Source organism: Homo sapiens, chromosome 10, assembly GCF_000001405.40.
Source record: "Homo sapiens chromosome 10, GRCh38.p14 Primary Assembly".
Taxonomy (NCBI): Eukaryota; Metazoa; Chordata; class Mammalia; order Primates; family Hominidae; genus Homo; species Homo sapiens.
The window spans coordinates 48,743,553-48,761,284 of NC_000010.11; the positions used below are offsets into that span (position 1 = coordinate 48,743,553).

At 39.7% G+C, this 17,732-nt stretch overlaps 1 protein-coding gene and 1 pseudogene across 12 annotated transcripts in view, besides 2 other annotated features; one reads left to right on the forward strand and one right to left on the reverse strand.

The window, feature by feature from the left end:
- Positions 1-17,732, forward strand: part of WDFY4 (WDFY family member 4) — a 298,084-nt gene that overhangs the window by 58,680 nt on the left and 221,672 nt on the right. For all 12 annotated transcript variants that reach the window (XM_011539988.3, NM_001394531.1, NM_001370153.1 and 9 more), the window contains one exon: positions 16,795-16,888. In XM_011539988.3, coding sequence (XP_011538290.1) covers positions 16,795-16,888 — 94 coding nt within the window. The remainder of the gene's footprint in view (positions 1-16,794; positions 16,889-17,732) is intronic.
- Positions 1,095-1,254: an enhancer, noted in NCBI's record as "active region_3339". NCBI's record gives its function as "activates an Ori minimal core promoter by ATAC-STARR-seq in GM12878 lymphoblastoid cells {active_cell/tissue: GM12878}" and the evidence as "EXISTENCE:reporter gene assay evidence [ECO:0000049][PMID:35858748]".
- Positions 1,722-2,266: an enhancer, noted in NCBI's record as "H3K4me1 hESC enhancer chr10:49953319-49953863 (GRCh37/hg19 assembly coordinates)". NCBI's record gives its function as "activates a minimal SCP1, AML or CMV promoter by ChIP-STARR-seq in naive H9 embryonic stem cells {active_cell/tissue: H9 hESC(naive)}" and the evidence as "EXISTENCE:reporter gene assay evidence [ECO:0000049][PMID:30033119]".
- Positions 1,968-2,600, reverse strand: RPL13AP19 (ribosomal protein L13a pseudogene 19; annotated as a pseudogene).

The following is a 17,732-nucleotide window of genomic DNA, read 5'->3' on the forward strand; positions in this document are numbered from 1 at the left end:
CTTCTTCTGCCAGTGTGTCATCAGTGCATCTCTGTCTCCCATTCTCACTCTAACGTCTTGCGCATGTGTACTCAGTAGGAAGGCTCAGCTACAGAATGGGTGTGCAGAAATGTCATGTGACCTCAACTTCCTCAAATCAAGTTAGCTCTGACTCCACACTCTTCTACCTTGGGAGCTGATGGAAAATTCAATCTGAGTCAGTACTGGGTTGGAGGATGCTGTCGAGTCACATAAGAACCAGGGAGGGCAGGACCCTGCTGCTACACTCACCTTCTCCTTTGGGATCTTTACTGTCCTAGGGAGCCCTGGTGCCTGGGCCTGGCATCCCTGGGTGTGCCAGGCAGCCTCGGTCTTCTCAGGTTTTATCTCCTCCCCAGGATGCTGCCAGGGGTGGGGTGAGATCCTTTGATCTGCAGGACACAAACCACAGTGTCCACCCCAATTATGGAACTCTTTCTGTTCTTTCTTGCTGCTTCTACACCCCCTAACAAAGACAATTGCTCTCCTTACTTCCGCAGGCCAAACACCTCAATGAGTTCAGACTTTAGTAAACAACTTTTTCCTCTCATGTCTGTAACAAAGAATTCCACTAAAGCAAGAGAGCACAAAGAACCATCCCTACCCCAACCCACTTGGGGTGGGAGGGAAAATGAAAGAACACAACAGTAACAGTTGGTGTCTTTTTCCATTCCTCTAAAGCATAAATGACAGAACACCCATTAATACTGCAGTAAGTTATCCTTCTGAAAGACACTGCATTTTTATCCAGAGTGCCCCGTTTGCCAGACTTCAGTGTTGGGGATGGTAGAGAGAAGGATGCATGTTAAATCTCCACACATTGAGATAATTATGATTTTTGGGGGTTAATCTGGCAAATTAATTGGTTTCCTAATCTTGCATTCCTGCGCAAACCAACTCATTCATAATCTGTGTATTGCTGAATTTGATGTACTAATGTTTAAAAAGGATTTTTGCACTGATATTCAGGAGGTTGGCCTTTCATACTCCTTTCCTGGCTATTTTTCTTGTCAGATTTATGCTAGCATCATAGCATGAGTTGGACAGTGCTTCTCTTCTATGCTACTGAAGAGTTTATGTAGATTGTTTATTTCCGTTCCCTAGCTAATGTGACAGAACTTGCCTCTAAATGCTTGTGAACCCGATGTTTTCTTGTGAGAAAATTTATTCTCATGAGAATGCACTTCTGTTTGTTCTTGAATTATTCTTGGTTTGTTATTTTGCAAGCTGATTTTCCCATTTCATCGAAGTTTCCATTTGTGGGCATCCGACTGCTCACGATGGCTCCCTCACGCTCTTCTGAGCAGAACTTGTGAGTTCTGTGACTCATTTCTAACCTGTTTACCTGTGTCTTCCTTGCTTTTTCTGCTTCAGCACTATTCACAATTGTTTACTTTTCAGTGTGCCCTATGAACCAACTTTGACTTTTCCTGTTTCTCCTACTGTTTTTGGTTATCATTTCCTTCTACCTTTGGGCTTATTCTGGTGTTCTTTTTCTTAACTTGGATGTCTGTTTCCATCTTCTTTTTACATGTAAATTTCTCTGTAATTTGTAAGTTTTATTTTCAGTATCATTTAGTATGAAATATTTTTCTAATTTCCCTTATAAATTATAGTTGACTCTTATGTGTTTGAATTTTGAATTTCCATTGTTACAGTGTTTCTAGTCATCTTTGCTATTTACTTCTCACTCTATCAAGGTGAGAGAAGGTGGATCGTCTGGGTTCTTATCCTTTGAAATTGGTTGAGGTTGACTTCATGGCCCTCAATGTAGTCCCTTCTCATAAATATTCCACATGTGCTTGGAAATAATGCATGTTCTCAGAGTGTTAGGTTCGATGTTCTATTTATGTCCCTTGGATCGAATTTGTCAATTGTTTCATTCAAATATCCTTTATCATTAATTTTTAAAGTCGGCTTGAAATATCAGCTTTTTGTTTTTTATTTTTGGAATAAACAGGCCTTATTGGGCTCATGGGTCTTGAGGGCCTCTGTGTATTTGTCAGTTTTCTTCTCCACGTTCTTTTTGGCCTGTTTCTGCAGCCTTATGAGCTATTTCTTCTTCTGGTAGTGGGTCTCGGCCTTCTCCTTCCTCTTCTCCTCCAGGGTGGCTGTCACTGCCTGGTACTTCCAGCCAGCCTCTTGAGCCAGGCGCCCCACGTAGGCAAACTCTCTTGTGGGCTTCAGATGCACAGCCTTGCGGGCAGCAGAAACACCCATCTAGTTTTCCTGCTGTAGGGCGGTGGGATTCCATCGAACACCTCGGCGTCCAAGGCAGCCTGGCCTCGCTGGGCCTTGCGGACCGCGGGCCCTGCACTGTCGGCTGGAAGACGCTGCTGGGGGCCAGGAAATAACAGGGGCCTCATCAGGGTTGGTGCTCATCCGCCTGCGGAAGAAGGCCGGGTACTTCAGCTTATTTCTGTAGAAATTGTCAGAAACGTTGACACTCTCGCAGCGCACCACCACCTTCCGGCCCAGCAGTACCTGCTTCACCACAACGGCCGCCAGGTGGCCCAGGAGGTAGCCTCGGTCTCCAGCACTGGGACCTGCCCCTCCGCTACCTGCGGCAGCGGCCTGGGAAATGGTGTATCAGTTATTGAGAACGATGCATTCAAAATCTCTCATGATAAAGTGGATGTGTCAATTTCTGATGAATTTTCCCTTACATATATTTGAGGTTGTAAGAATCATACATATTTAGAATTTTTATATTCTTATGGAGTCTAAATTTTTATCATTATATGGTGAACTTTTTATCCCTAGTTGTACATTTTGCCTTAATAATAATAGGACTATATCAGGTTTCTTTTGGTTAGTTCGTGCCTGGGATTTTTCTTCATCCTTTGGTTTTAACCTTTCTGTGTACTGTCCTTACATTTTTAGGTGTTTTTCTTGTAAACAATAAGGAACCACTTTTGTTGGTTTTACTTTGTTTTTCAATCTAGTGTGGTATTATTTCTCATTTAACTGGAGAAAGTCATTTGTTTACGCTTTCATAATTATTAATATATTTGGAATGATTTCTACTTAGCTTTTTACATTTGTTCCACTTTAAAAAAAAACATTTTTGGTCTTATTTTTGAATTGATTTTAAAAAATTGTGTTTCCTACCTACTAGTATGAAATTTAAACTCTCTATGATTAATTTTATAGTAGTTGCCCTAGAGTGAATTAACAGGCATACTCATGTTTTTAGTTAAACAGTATCTTTATCCTTCCAATTAAGACACCAAGACCTTAAAACTCAAATATTTTTGCCCTTTTCTAACTCATACATTACTATTAGCTAATATTTTAAACTTATCTCCTGTTAGTAAATCCATCAGATATGACAGTTATTGTTGTTGTTTTATAAAATATTCTTTGGATTTACCTACATGCTTTCAATGTCTGTGCTCACCATTCTTTTTTGCATCTCTATCCTTCCATCTGGGATTATTTTTTATCTACTCTAGTACATCTGTTAAACTTTCCTGTAGTGTGGGTCTATTTGTGGTAAACTCTCTTGGATTTTATTTGTCTGAAAACTGTCTTTATTTTCTCCCTAATTGCAGAAATATAGTTTTGCTGGGTAAACATTTATTGGTTGACAGTTATTTTCTCACAGTAAATGGAAGGTCTCCCCAGCTATTGCCTTCCATTGTTGCCTTTTAAAATCGTTTTTATTTCTCTTCCTTTGAAGGTAATTTGTCATTTTTCTCTGGTCGCTTTTAAGATCTTCACCATTCTTGTTCTATTGCTTTACTGTCATATATCTCAATGTACATTATTTTAAACATTTATTTTGCTTCATATTCATTGGGATTCCTGAATCCCAACTGATGTCTTTTATAAAATATGGATTTTTAAATTATGACCTCTTCTCCATCCCTTTTCCTATTATGCCTTTTTGGAACTAACACAATTAGATGTATGTTTTACTTTTTCATTCTATCCTCCCTTAATCTTTCTTTTACATTTTTCATCTCTTTGTCTCTCTGTACTCTGTTCCACACAGTTTCTTTTGGTCTTTCTTAAACCCACTGAATCTCCTACTAGCTGTGTCTAATCTGATATATAATCTAGCCATTTAGGTTTTCTTTTTAAAATTTCAATGACAGTATTTTATATGTCTAGATATACTGTTTCTTTTTCAAATAAACTTGATTTGATAGCCCTTTTCCTTTCTCATATCTTTCATTTTTATTTCTTCAAACACAAGAATCATAATTATTTCTTCTTGTGTTTTTTGAGAGTATATTGTTTCTGTGACAATCATGGAAGGTCCCTTGTATGATGTCTGATTTTTTATTGTGAATCTTGCTCCAAGATTTTCCTTTTCTTGGATTCCATAGAAACCATCCTCATTCAGGCCATTCTGCCCTTCTGTAGGTATGGGAATGCCTCCATGGGGTCTTAGCTGCCCTTTCCAAGCCAGGCCTTGGCCAGATTCCCAGGTCCTGATTTTCTTGCTTGTCTTGGGAAGAATTCCCTCTCTGGGTTCCCTGTTCTCTATATTTCAGGGGCAATCCCTGAGGAGGCCTTTTGCCTGGGCACCCTGATAACATACAGGTTAACTTAGGATCTTGGTGTGGAAACTTGTTTGACTTATTCTGCCAGCTCTCAGGGGCAGGGGAGTATTTGTCAGTATGAAAAGACATTTAGTAAGTGATATCAGGTGAAGAAAAGCAATAGTAATTAGTTGAATGTCTATGGAGGCTGAGCACTAAACATCTATTTATTTTTATTTCCCTCCAAAATTTTGGAATTTTATCAATAAGGAAACAAAGGCTGAGAAAGGATAAAAAACATGGCCAAAGGTCACACATTTAGTAAATAATAAAGCTAGAATTTGAACCCAGGGCTACCTCCAAAGCCTGCATGCATTTGTCTGTGCGTGCGTGTATGTGCACACACGTGTGTGTGTTCTTCCTGTTTTTTTCCTGATACTCCCACAATAATAGTGATAGTTTTCCAAATGTCTGACACGACAGCCTGCAGTTTGAAGATTGGGTTCTAACCAATGGACTGCGTCAGTCCTGATGTTTTAGAGGTGAGTCCTGTGTCAAATGTCATCCTGGTTTTGTAATGAGTAATTTTTACATTTATAAGACCCATGTTTCATAAATAGAGCATTTTTTTTTCTCCCTAAAAGAGATACATGGCCCTTGACCTTCCTTGATGGTTAGAGAATAGGAAGTGAAACTCTACCCCCTCCAGGGAGTCTGCAGAGTAAAGGGCATGGCAGTGGGCTGGGAATGGGAGACAGGGTGCTCGTCTCTGCCGTACCACACTTGTATGTCCTTGGGCAAGTGGCTTCCCTCAGCCCTGCCTTCTGCAAAGTAGGTCCCAAGTCTCCAGGGAGGAGGGAAAGAGGCCGTGGGCCTTGGAGTCAGGCCTGCTTGTTCTATGCCTTGGTGGCTGTGTTCTTTGGTCCTGCTACTTTATTTCTCTAATCTTCCATCTCCTGATTTGAAGGCAGACATAATAATAGTATCTACATTGAGGGAAGATGGTAGTTAGAGTGATCACAGCTGCTTCCTAAGCATGTGTGCGCCAGACACCATGCTCAGCTTTTTACAATGGACTATTCTTCAATTCATTTAGTCTTTATGGTAACTATAATTTAAGGAATATTTTTCATAACACAGAGGTGACATGTTATGTAATTCCAAAAATATATCTATGGTGTCCAAAATACATCATATATCTCTATGAAACATGCACCATACCAAATAAACACCCCTACACCAAACACACTATATACACATCACATGCACATATACATACACCACATGTACACAAAACACACACACACCACACTAAACATACACCTTACACATACTGGCATACCACACACCCACACACTGCACTTACACACCACACAGCACCTAGCACATACACATGAATACACACCACACATACCACCTACATATGCTACATACAGACACCACACGACACACACAAATACCACACATACACACATACTACATATCCACACTACATACACACACCATAGAATGGAGTGCTTACCCCTCAGCAGCACATCATCCACAGTGCAGGTCTGGAGGTGAAAGTGGAGCAGAAGCAGGGTCAGACTGTGGTGGGCCTTGCACAAACCCTATGGGAGACCATTTCACTTTTACCCTATAGGCAATGTGGAGCTAGGGTGGTCTCTGTGCAGGACTGTGGCATCATGGGGTTATGGGTTATGAGGACTGCTCTACAACTGGGTCTGTGTATAGCTCTGAGAAAAGCCCCCTCCAAAGCAAGGCAGCCCTGCTCCTTCTTGCTTCTGCCTTAGCATATGCCTTCTCCCAGCCCCTGCCAGGCCTCGTGGGCTGACGTTTATTCCTTATGTCAGCCAAAGGAGCAACCCCAGTCACCTTTACCTTGAACTTAAGTTGTGGCTATAACTTATAGCCCTAAGGGGACATCATTTCAACAGGAATGCGGTGTGCTCCAGGCAATAGTTAAGGTTTCATGGGGCACTCTGCAGGCCAGAGCCCTAAACACTTACTCCTCTGGCTCTGCTGCTGGGCATCCTGCAGCTTCATCCTAATCTTTCCTGTTGAAACAATGTCCCCTGTGGGTATGAGTTATATCTGTCACTTAAGTTTGTTAGAGGTAATTGTTGTGCCAGACCATTGAGGAAGGGTGGGGGACAGTGTAGTTCCTGAACAGTTCACATGAAGGCCACACTGGCCTTTGGAAGGCACAGATGTGACCCTGTCGTTCCCACTTGGAAGCCTCCAGTGCTTTCCCATGATTCCCAGGAGGGAGTCAGGCATTGGGAGTGTGGGGCACACAGTTCTGGGGGTCCTGCCTGCCCATGGCATGCAGCCATGCAGCCATGTTTCAGACTCAGATTTCACATATGCCCTTTACTCTACCTGGGATGCCTTTCCTGTCTTCACTCTGCCTGGACAGTTGCTTCTTATGCTTTTGTCTAGGTTTAGATGTCACTTCTTCCAAGAAGCCTCCCCTGGCCTGCCCATCCCCATCCCATGGGCCAAATCAGATCCCACTGCCTCACATTTCCTCAGCACCCTCAGCACTGATCACAGTGCAAATCAATGATTAATTGTGTAATCTTCCTTGGTTTCTTATTTCTTTGGTTTGTGTTTGCACACTTGAGCATATCTGAAACCAGGATATGTATTAAAATGGATGCCAAGGACATCAGCCACTTAAGTCGTCTCTTCCCCATCTGCTAATAAAGGCACTGTACATCTATCAATTTTTGGTTTCTTACCACTGTTGAAATAAGATGGTGTTCAAATCTCTTTCTTCTGCTTCAGTGGTGAGGCCCATGTGAGCATGGACTGGGTCTGCAGCTACATCAGGGACCCCTGTGAATGGTCACTGAGTAGAATATGGGCATGAATGAATTGAGAAGATGGACAGGACAGGAGGAAAGGCAGGGAGGGTTGGCAAGGCAGATAGTCTTGGACTCTCGTGCCTGGTGTCCTGAAGACACCTGATGTGCAGTTGTCCTGCAACTGCTTCAGATATGGCTGCTCCTGCCTGCTCCTCTTCTGGGCTCCCACCTAGTAGAGACATGAATGGAGCATTATCCTTGTATGGTGGGGACCCTGGCAAGGGCAGGCCCAGAAATTGAGAGGACGCAGAGAAGTGCACCTAATGAAGTCTGGGGAGGAGGTCAGCGAGGCGTTCCTGGATGAGGAGACCACTGAGCTAAACATTTAAAGATGAGAGTTATCTGGTCTGAGATGGGTTGAGGAGGCATAAAGGTGAGACTCAAAATCAACTATCTTGAGTAAGGTTTGTTCCTGCCTTCTGTAGGCATTGCTCGGACTTTAAGCTGTAGTAGGGCTTTAAGCTATAGGGATGGATGGGCAGAGATGATGGCTGGAAAGGAGAGGAGCAAAGGAGCTGTCAGTTGCTCCTTCCAGGGATGGCAGTAGCTTGAACAGGAGAACATTTTGAGAACTATTTAGGACGTAACTTTGCCTGGCCTTGGTAACCAATTTGATGAGAGTGTGAGAGAGACTGGTTGGTGCTAGTCCCTGAGAGAGAAGCCCTAGAGTTTTGGAAGAGGATGGTGGCTGTCTGGAGTAATCAGCATGGACTGCACAAATGAGGCCGCTTTGCTTTTAATTTTCTAATGCATCCCTCAAGTATCCACAGGCCTTAGTAACAGGAGATAGTTATTAATCTTGCCTCCTGAAGTTTGATAGAGTCCACATAGGGGGCAGTCTGTCTGACTTCCATATCTAAGCAAGACAAGTACCAGGATTGGAGTAGTCATCCTCTCTGTCATGCAGCTGCTGTGGGTGGCAGGATTTTATAGCCAAGCTCAGGGGCTGTGTGAAATGATGAGGCTTCACTGGTTCACGTCCTGCAAAGGCCCCTAGGCTTCTTCAAATGAGATGCAAAATTTGGCCAAGCACGCCTCACACCACCACTGGCTCCCAAAGATACAGGCACTTTGGGATTTGTACTTTTGATTACAACTTTCTGTCGTACCCACAGGTCCCTTGCGAGATACAAGCCGTCTGGGAACACCAGGTCAGGTGGGGGATCAGTGTCTGCCATCCTTGGGATCCAGAACCTTGTCTCCATTCCTGCTCTGTCAATCCCTACCTTACAGCAATGCTTCTCATAGTGTGGCCTGTAGACCACCTGCATCAGAATCCATTGTAAAGTTGCACAAAAATATAGTTGTGTAAACTAGATTTCCCGAATCACAAATCCCTGGGGTTGAAATTTAGGGTTCTGTTTTTAAAAAGGTCCTCTTATTATGTGTAAGCACATTAAAGTTTGAGAACTGCTCCAGGTGCTGGACATCTTTTACTTTAAAAAAATCTTAGCTTTTTTCACTGAGGTGAGATTTGCAGAACATAAAATTAATAATCTTAAAGCAAACAATTCCATAGAATTTAATGCATTCACAGTGTTGTGCAAAGACCACCTCTATCTAATTCAAAACACTTTTATCACCCCAAAAGGAAAACCTATACTCATTCTCATTCTTTTCCCCAGTCCCTGGGCTACCACCAATCTGCTTTGGGGATTAAACTGTTCAGGATAAATCATGTGTAAATGGAATCATGTAATAGGTTTCCTTTGGCGTTTGACTTCTTTCAGGTAGCTTAATATTTTTGAGATTCATTTACATTGTAACGTATATCAGTACTTCTTTCCTTTTTACAATAAAATAATATTCCATCATATGGGTACACACCACAGTTTGTTTATCCATTCATTTGTTGATGAACATTTGGGTTATTTCCTTTGGTTCTTGTAAATAGTGCTGCTATGAACATTCATGTTCATGTATTTATTTGAGTACTTGTTTTGAATTCTTTTGAATATATACCTAGGAGTAGAATTGTAGCTCAATTCAATAGAATTGTAGGAACTGTAAAACTGCCTATTTTCACAGCAGCTGAACCAATTTTACACACCCAACAGCAATATAAAAGGTTTTCAATTTCTCCACAGGCTTGCCAATATTTATTTCCCTTTAAAAAATTTTTTAGCCATTCTAATGGGCATGGAGTGTTATCTCATTGTGATTTTGATTTTTGTTTCTCTAATGGCTAATAATGTTGAATTTTTTTATGTGCTTTTTGGCCATTTGTATATCTTTTTGGGGGAAACGTCTATTCAAGGGCTTGGCCCATATTTTAATTGGGTTGTTTCTCTTTTTGTTGCTAAGTTGTATGAATTCTTTATATATTGTGGGTACTAGACTCTCAAAAGAAATATGATTTGCAAATATTTTCTCTCATTCTGTAGGTTCTCCTTTCATTTTCTTAATAATGTCCTTTGATGCACAAAAATTTTCAGTTTTGATGAAGTCCAGTTTATCCATTTTTTCTTCTGTTACTTGTGCTTTTGGCATTATATGTAAAAATCCATTGCCAAATCCAAGGTCATAAAGATTTACCACTGTGTTTTCTCCTAAAAATTTTGTTTTGGCTCTTATTGTAGATAATTAATTCATTTTGAGTTAATTTTTGCATATGGCAAGGGGTCAGGGTTCAACTTCATTCTTTTGCTTATAGCTATTCAACTGCTCTGGTACCATTAGTTGAAGAGTCCCTTCTTAAATTGTCTTTGTATCCTTGTTGAAAATCAAGGGGCCACAGATACATGAGTTTATTTGTGGATTCTCAATCCTATTTCATTGATCTCTATATTTATCCTTATGTCAGCTCCACTGTTTTGATTATGTAGCTTTGTAGTAGGTTTTGAACTCTGGAAATGTGAGTTGTCCAACTTTATCTTTTAAAATATTGCTTTGGCTTCTTAGGGTTTCCTACAATTCCACATGAATTTGAGGGTCAGCTGTCACCATTTGGCATGCTGCTAGCTGTGGGCTTTTCATAAATGCCCTTTATCATGTTGAGGAAGTTTACTATCTATTTCTAGTTTTTGGAGTGTTTTTATCATGAAAGAGTGTGAGATTTTGTCAAATGCTCTTTATGAGTCAAATCAGATGATCATCTGTTTTTTGCCTTTGTCTATTAATGTGGTGTATTTTGTTGATTGGTTTTGTTATGTTGAACCACCCTTGCATTTCTAATATAAATCATACTTGGTCATGACATATAATCCTTTTAATATGCTGTTGAATTTAGTTTGCTAGCATTTTGTTTAGGATTTTGCATGTATGTTCATAAGGGACATTGATCCCTTGGATATTGGTAGGTTTTTTTTTTTTTTTCTGTATTGTCTTTGTGTGGCTTCAGTATCAGAGTAAAAATACAGGCTTCCTTGCTGTTCCTGGAATATGCCAGACATACTCCTACTTCAGGGCTTTTGCAATGGCTCTTCTCTTTGCTTGAAATGCTTTTCCCATGGATGTCTGCATCCCGTCTTTCAGTTTTGCCCTTCTTAAAGAGGCCAAACCTGCCATTCAAATTAAAGTTGTAAATTACTCTCCTTCTGCATACAAGCACTTATCAATCAAAAATCAAATTTTTGTCAATTCTCCTTTCTTGGCTCTTTTTTTCTCAATAGCACTTATCATTTCTTATTCATTATGATATTATTATGTTATATATTAATATGTTATATTATACACAATAATTATTAATTTTAATTTACTTATTTATTGTGTTTATCTTTATGTCTACACCCTTCCCCTCACACCCAGGTCATGGATTTTAGTTTGTTTAGTTTACAGATGTATCCAGAGTGCCTGAATAGTGCCTGGAAAATAATAAAAGGTCAATAAGTATTTGCTCAGTTGATTTGAATAAATTACGCCCAAGCACAAGAAACACTCCTGAGCACCTTAGCTACTCTGAGGACTAAAAACAATCTCACTTTGCATATGACAGCAGCAACATGGGCAGGGTGTTGGAAAACTGGGTGTTGGTAATTTGGGATTAGCCTGTAGTTTATTATTATTATTTCAATTCACATGAAGTAAAAGTCTCTTTTTTTGGCCTACAGTTCTATGGGTTTTAATTCATGTGTAGAGTCACACGACTACCACCACAATCAAGAAACAGAACAGTCTCATCACCTCAAATAGCTCCCAGATATTGCCCCACATAGTAAAACCTTTTCTCCACCCTATCCTCGCAACCGTGGATCTTTCCTTATAGTTTTGTCTTTCCAGAATACCATATACATGGAAGCATACATGTGTAATCTTTTGAGCCTGGCTTCTTTCGCTCAGCATAAGGCCTTTCAGATTCACTCATTTTGTGTGTATCAGTAGTTCATACATTTCTGTTGCTGAGTAGTTTTCCATTGTAGGGATGCAAATGTTTCCTCCCAGCCTATAGCTTATCTATTCATCTTTAAATAGGGTCTTCCACAGATTGAAGGTTTTAAATTTTGATGAAGTCCAAATCATCATTTGTTTTTACTTTTATGTATTGCACTTTTATGTCATATCTAAGATCTCTTTGCCTGACGGCCATGAAGATTTTCTCCTATGTTTTCTTCTAAAAGTTTTACAGGTCTGTAATCTGTTTTGAGCTACTTTTTGTACCATGTGTGAAGTTTAGATTGAGATTCATTTTTTGTTTGTTTGTTTTTGCTTATGAATGTCCAATTCTTCCAATGCCATTAGTTGAAAATATTATCTTTTTTTCCATTGAATTGTCTTTATAACTTTGTAAAAACTGCTTAGCCATATTTATATATGTCTTTGGACACTATTTGATTTCATTGACTTATGTGTCTAGCTTTTCACCAATATTGTCTTGATTACTGTGGCTTTGTAAGATATCAAATGCAAGCTCTCCAAAGATATTCTTCCTTCTCAAATTTGCTTTGGTGATTTCAGTTCCTTTACCTTTGGCTGTCCTGATGGAACCTCGTTATTTTATATATAGGTAGGTATTGTTTGCTGATTGTTGAGGATTTTTGCACCTATGTTCATTAGGGATACTGACATGCAGTTTTTTTATACTGTGTTTTTCTGTTTTCAATATCAGGGTAATTCTGACTTTGTAAAATGAATTGGGAAGTGTTCCTTTCTGATACCATATAAATGTTAATGATCAGCTTGCCTATATCTACAAAAATTCCTGCTGGGATTTTTATTGGAATTGCATTAGATCTATAGATCAATTTGGAGAGAATTGACAATTTAACTATAGTAAATCTTCCAACCCATAAACATAGTGTGCTTTTCTGTTTATTTAGGTCTTTGATTCTTTCATCAAAGTCTGTCATATTCAGTGTAGGGCCTGCACATGTTTTCTTAGATTTATACCAGAGTCTTTTGTTGAACACACTTCCAAAGGGTATTTAAAATTTTTTGGTTTCTAATTTTTCAATTCTAGTATTTAGGAATATGGTTAACTTTTGTATGTCGACTATTATTCTGAGACTGCTAAATTTAATTATTAGTTCTAGAAGTTTTTTTTTTTATGGATTCCTTGGGATTTTCTATGAAGACAATCTCATCGTCTGTGACTAGTGCCAGTTTTTGGTCTTCCTTTCCAATCCATATGTTCCAGTATTACATCCAATAGCAATGGAGAGATCCTTGCTTGTTCTTAATCTTAGGGAGAAAGTCTTCAGTCTTTGCCATTGAATATAACATCAGCTATGGGAATTTGTAGATGCCCATTGTTAGGTTATAAACAATTCCTTTGAATTTACTGAGAATTTCTTTTTATCATGAGCAGATTTTTAATCTTTCAAATGCTTTTTATGCATTAAATGATATTATCATGTGATTTTATTAATATGGATCATGTTGACTGATTTTTGAATATTAAACTTGCCTTGCATTTACGGGTAGTCCAATTGGCCATAGTACCCTCGTTATTTTATATGTAGCTAGGTATTATTTGCTGATTGTTGAGGATTTTTGCACCTATGTTCATTAGGTATACTGAAATGTAGTTTTTTTATACTGTGTTTTTCTGTTTTCAATATCAGGGTAATTCTGGCTTTATAAAATGAATTGGGAAGTGTTCCCTTCTCTTGTGTTTTTGAAAGAAGCTGTGTAGAACTGGTGTTATTTCTCTTTTAAATGTATGGTAGAATTTGCTGGTGAAAACACTGAGCCTCAAGGTTTCTTTGTGGGCAGGTTTTTAGCTACATATTCGGTTTTTGTAATAGCTATAAATGATTTAGGCAACTTATTTCTTCTTGTTGAGTTTGGTAGTTTGTGGCTTCGAAGAAAACCGTTTGAAGGTAGTTTATGACTTTGAAGGAACAATTACTGAGAGGAGTGTTGAACTCTCTAACTATAATTGTGGATTTGGCCATTTGTCCTTTCAGATCTATGAGTTTTTCTTTCTGAATTGTGATGCTCTGTTGTAAAGTGCAAACACGTTTTGAATTGTTATGTCTCTTTTAATCATCATATCATATAATCTGTTTATTATGAGTCATTTTCCTTGCTCTAAAGTCTGTTTTCCCTGATATGAGTAGAATTACACCAGCTTTCTTTTGATTACTGTTAGGATGGTATAAATTTTTCTATCCTGTTACTTTTAACCTATCTATATCACAATATTTAATGATGGCATATAGCTTTGTTTTTATTTCTTTCCATTCTGACAATAGTGTCTATCAGTTTTTAATGTGTTTGAATTATTGATGTGTTTGAATTTAGGTTCAGGATTTTATTGTTTGTTTTCTCTTTTTTTTTACTCTTTTTTTGTTCCTCTACTTCTGTTTGCCTGCCTTTTTGTGGACAATTTGAATATATTTTAGTATTCAATTTGAGTTTATCTACTGAATTTTTTGACTCTCCTTTTTTGTCTCTCCTTTTTTTTTAGTGCTTTCAATAGGGACTGCAGTATACTTAATTAACTTTTAACAGTCTACTTAGAATTGACATTTTACTATTTCAAATGGATTATAGAAAGCTTACCTCTACGCCGTTCCCTCTATCCTTCCCTATTTTTGTTGTGGTTGTCTTATGTATTACATCTAATACAATGTCACTTTCAACCATCATACCTAAATTTAAGAACTTAAGAAGAGAACAATAATAGTGTATTATATTTACCCAAATATTTACCATTTCTGTTGCTCTTTCTTCATCCCTGAAGTTTCCTTTCATTATTTTGTTATTATTTTCCTACCATCTGAAGAAATTTTAAAAGTATTATTCTTAGAACAAGTCTGATGGCAAGAATCTGTCTTCCTTCATCTGGGAACACATTTATTTTGCCTTCATTCTGGAAGCATGTGGATATGGAATTCTGTGTGTATTTTTGTAGCACTTTAAAAATGTTGTTTCCATGACTTCTGCTTTCTTATGAGAAAATCCAAGGTTATTCAAATTGTCGTTCCCTTAAATGTAATGTGTTGTTTTTCTCTGGCTGCTTTCAAGATTTTTAAAATTTTCTTTAGTGTTCAGCAGTTTGATTGTGCTGTGTCTGGGCATAATTTTTTTTGTTTATTTTATTTGGGTTTTGCTAAGCTTCTTGAATCTTTAAGGTTATGTATTTCACCAGCTTTGAAGAAAGAAGTACTAAAAACTTCTCAAACGTTTTTTCTTTCATACCATACTCTTTCTCGTCTCCTTGGAGGATTCTAATGACAGAAATGTTAGATCCTTTGTTACACATGACCTTGAGTCTGTCTTTATTTTTAGTAATCTTTTTCCTTTTTGTTGTTCAGATTAGGCAACTTGTATTGCTCCATCTTCGTGTTCATGGACTCTCCTCTCATCTCATTCTCCTATTGTTCTCATTTAGTGAGTTTAAACAAATTTCAGTTGTTGTGTTTACTTGATTCTTTTTTATTGCTTCTATTTATTTACTGAAACTTTCTGTTTTTCATTTATTTGAAAAATGTTCACTCTTACTTCTTGGAATTGGGTTAATAACTGCTTTAAGGGTTTCGTCTGATAGTTCCAACATCTGTGACATCTCAGCATTGGCATTTGTTGGTTGTCTTTTTCCACATGAGATGTTGAGACTTCCCTGGTTCATTCTATGTTGAGCAATTTCAGGTTGTATTCTGGACATTTTGAATCTTATCTTATGAACTCTGGTCTTTGTTGTCATCTTATAGAGAATGTTAATGAATATATATATATATATCTTAAGGTAGGGAACTAGCCCACTTAGGTTCAGGTTGCAAGTTTCTGCCCATCTTCCCTGGACTCTCTGGTTCCAGTATCAGTTCAGTTTTCAAAGACTGCAGGGAGATTTGATGTGCGCTCACTTGCTTCATGCAGTAACTGGTTGTGTGTGGTGGTTTACCTCCTAGTTAGGGTCAGATGCACATACACAGTCAGAACTCAGCCCAGAGGTTAATATACAACTTTGTGGTTACATTTTCCTCAGCTTCCTCTTCTTCATCCTTTCCTTAACACTTGCTGGCTCCCAAGGGGTCCCTTCCTGCTCTGTCTAGAATTGGCGCTTTTGTTTCTCTGTTCTTCCCTGTGTCACTGGTATCTGTCTCTGGGGCCATGCAGTGAGGGGAGAAAAGGAGAAAAGAGCAATGGGAATTTTACCTACACTCTTGGGACTACAGGTCCTCTGGTCAGAGAGAAAGTTTCTCTTCACTGAGAGTTTTAGAGTCTGCCTGGCTGCTGCTGCTGTTGCTGATGCTGAGGGAATTGCCTGAAAGATGGGTTGGGAAAGAATGGGGAAACCAAACAAAGAAAATCCCAGGGGATTTCCTCCATGCTCTGTGACCTGTAAAACCTCCTTTCCTGCTCCTCAGACCAGAAACAGAGGACTTCTCTTGGAGCTCTTTCCATCATGTCTACACCTTGTGCACAGTTGCGAGTTTTAGGCTACCTGTGAGTTCACACCAGGGGATGCTGCAGAGGGGAAGCCCAGAAAGCTCACTGCCAGTTCATAGTGCTTGAGTTTGGTTTCCTTCTCGGCTACCATTTACTTTCCAGAGTCCTCCAAGAGCTGCTCCATGAGTTCTAAGTGTTTTAGTTGCATTCGGTATTCAGGGGGTGGGACAGAGCTGAGTGTGCTTACACCATTTTGAAGGGACCCAGAAGCCTGTGTGTGTGTGTGTGTGAGTGAGTGTGTGTGTGTGTTCAATATGAAACCAGAGCTTCTCAATCTCCAACGTATCTGGAGGGAAGGGAAGAAAACCAGGGAACTAACTTCACTGAGCATCAACTATGGGTCAGGCACTGTGCCTTGGAGCACAAAAGCATTCTTCTATGACTGTAGGGGGAAAGTGTGGTACTGTCAATGCCTTTTAGAGTTGGAGGAAATTAGGCTCGATGGAGTAGTTCAATGTCATCTAGGTAATAAGACAGGATGTGTACCATGATCTGTCTTAGAAAGAAAGATCCAGGAAGCTCAGTGAAAATAGAAAGAAACTGGAAGGTCCGTGTCTCATGTCTGGCTCTCCCTCTCTCTGCAGGATGGATGAGGGAGATGCTGCAATCATGCATCCCGGGGTCGTGTGCATCATGGTGAGGCTGCTGCCTCGGTTGTACCATGAAGATCACCCACAGGTACCTGGTGTTGAATATGTGTGTTTTGTCATCTTCACATGACTGATCTCTCAAATGCCTTCTGACCCAAGACAGCTTTTTTCCTTTTGTCCGTGTCTTCAGTGCCCTGCGTTAGCAGAGCTCCCCATGGGAAACACCTATAGTGGGAAAGTACCAGGGTGTCCTGGACACTTGACTGAGTTGTGCCCACCCTTGCAAGGCCATCCAAAACAGATCACTTCTGTTAACAAAGCTACCTTCTAAGAACAACAGCCAAACAAAAAAACAACTGAAAATAATTGAACCATAGTAAGGCAAGTCCCAGGTGTTAAGCTCAGCACCTGGCGTTGGTGGGAAGTCCTTTGCTCCCTGGCATGTTCATCTCTCTCCTGGATGCTGGCTGAGATCCTGGCCCTGTGCTCTGTGCAGCTCATGCACAGCTAGCAAGATGAGCATAGACACTGTCCACAGAGCCCGCCTCTATGATGGGGATGAGGAGGTAGTGACAGTGCAGACAGACTAAATAAATGAGCTCACAAGTGAATATGAAATTATGAATTGTGACGAGTGATATTACAGGGAAAAATCAGGGTGCTGAGGTAGAAGAATGAGAATGGAGGCAGGAACAGATCTCATTAAATCTAATTTAGATAAAGGGTTGGAGGTCAGGGAAGCCGTCTCTAGATGGTGACATGTAAGCAGAGACCTGAAGGGTGAGTAGCTAGTGTGAACTGGGTGGGAAGGGGCCTGCTGTTGGTGGCTAGGGGAGGAGCAAATTGGAAGGGCCAGGAGCAAGGGCTCCCTGGTCAGGCGATGATGGGGATAATGGGGCATGCAGGCTTCTGGGAGCCTTGCCAATGTAAAT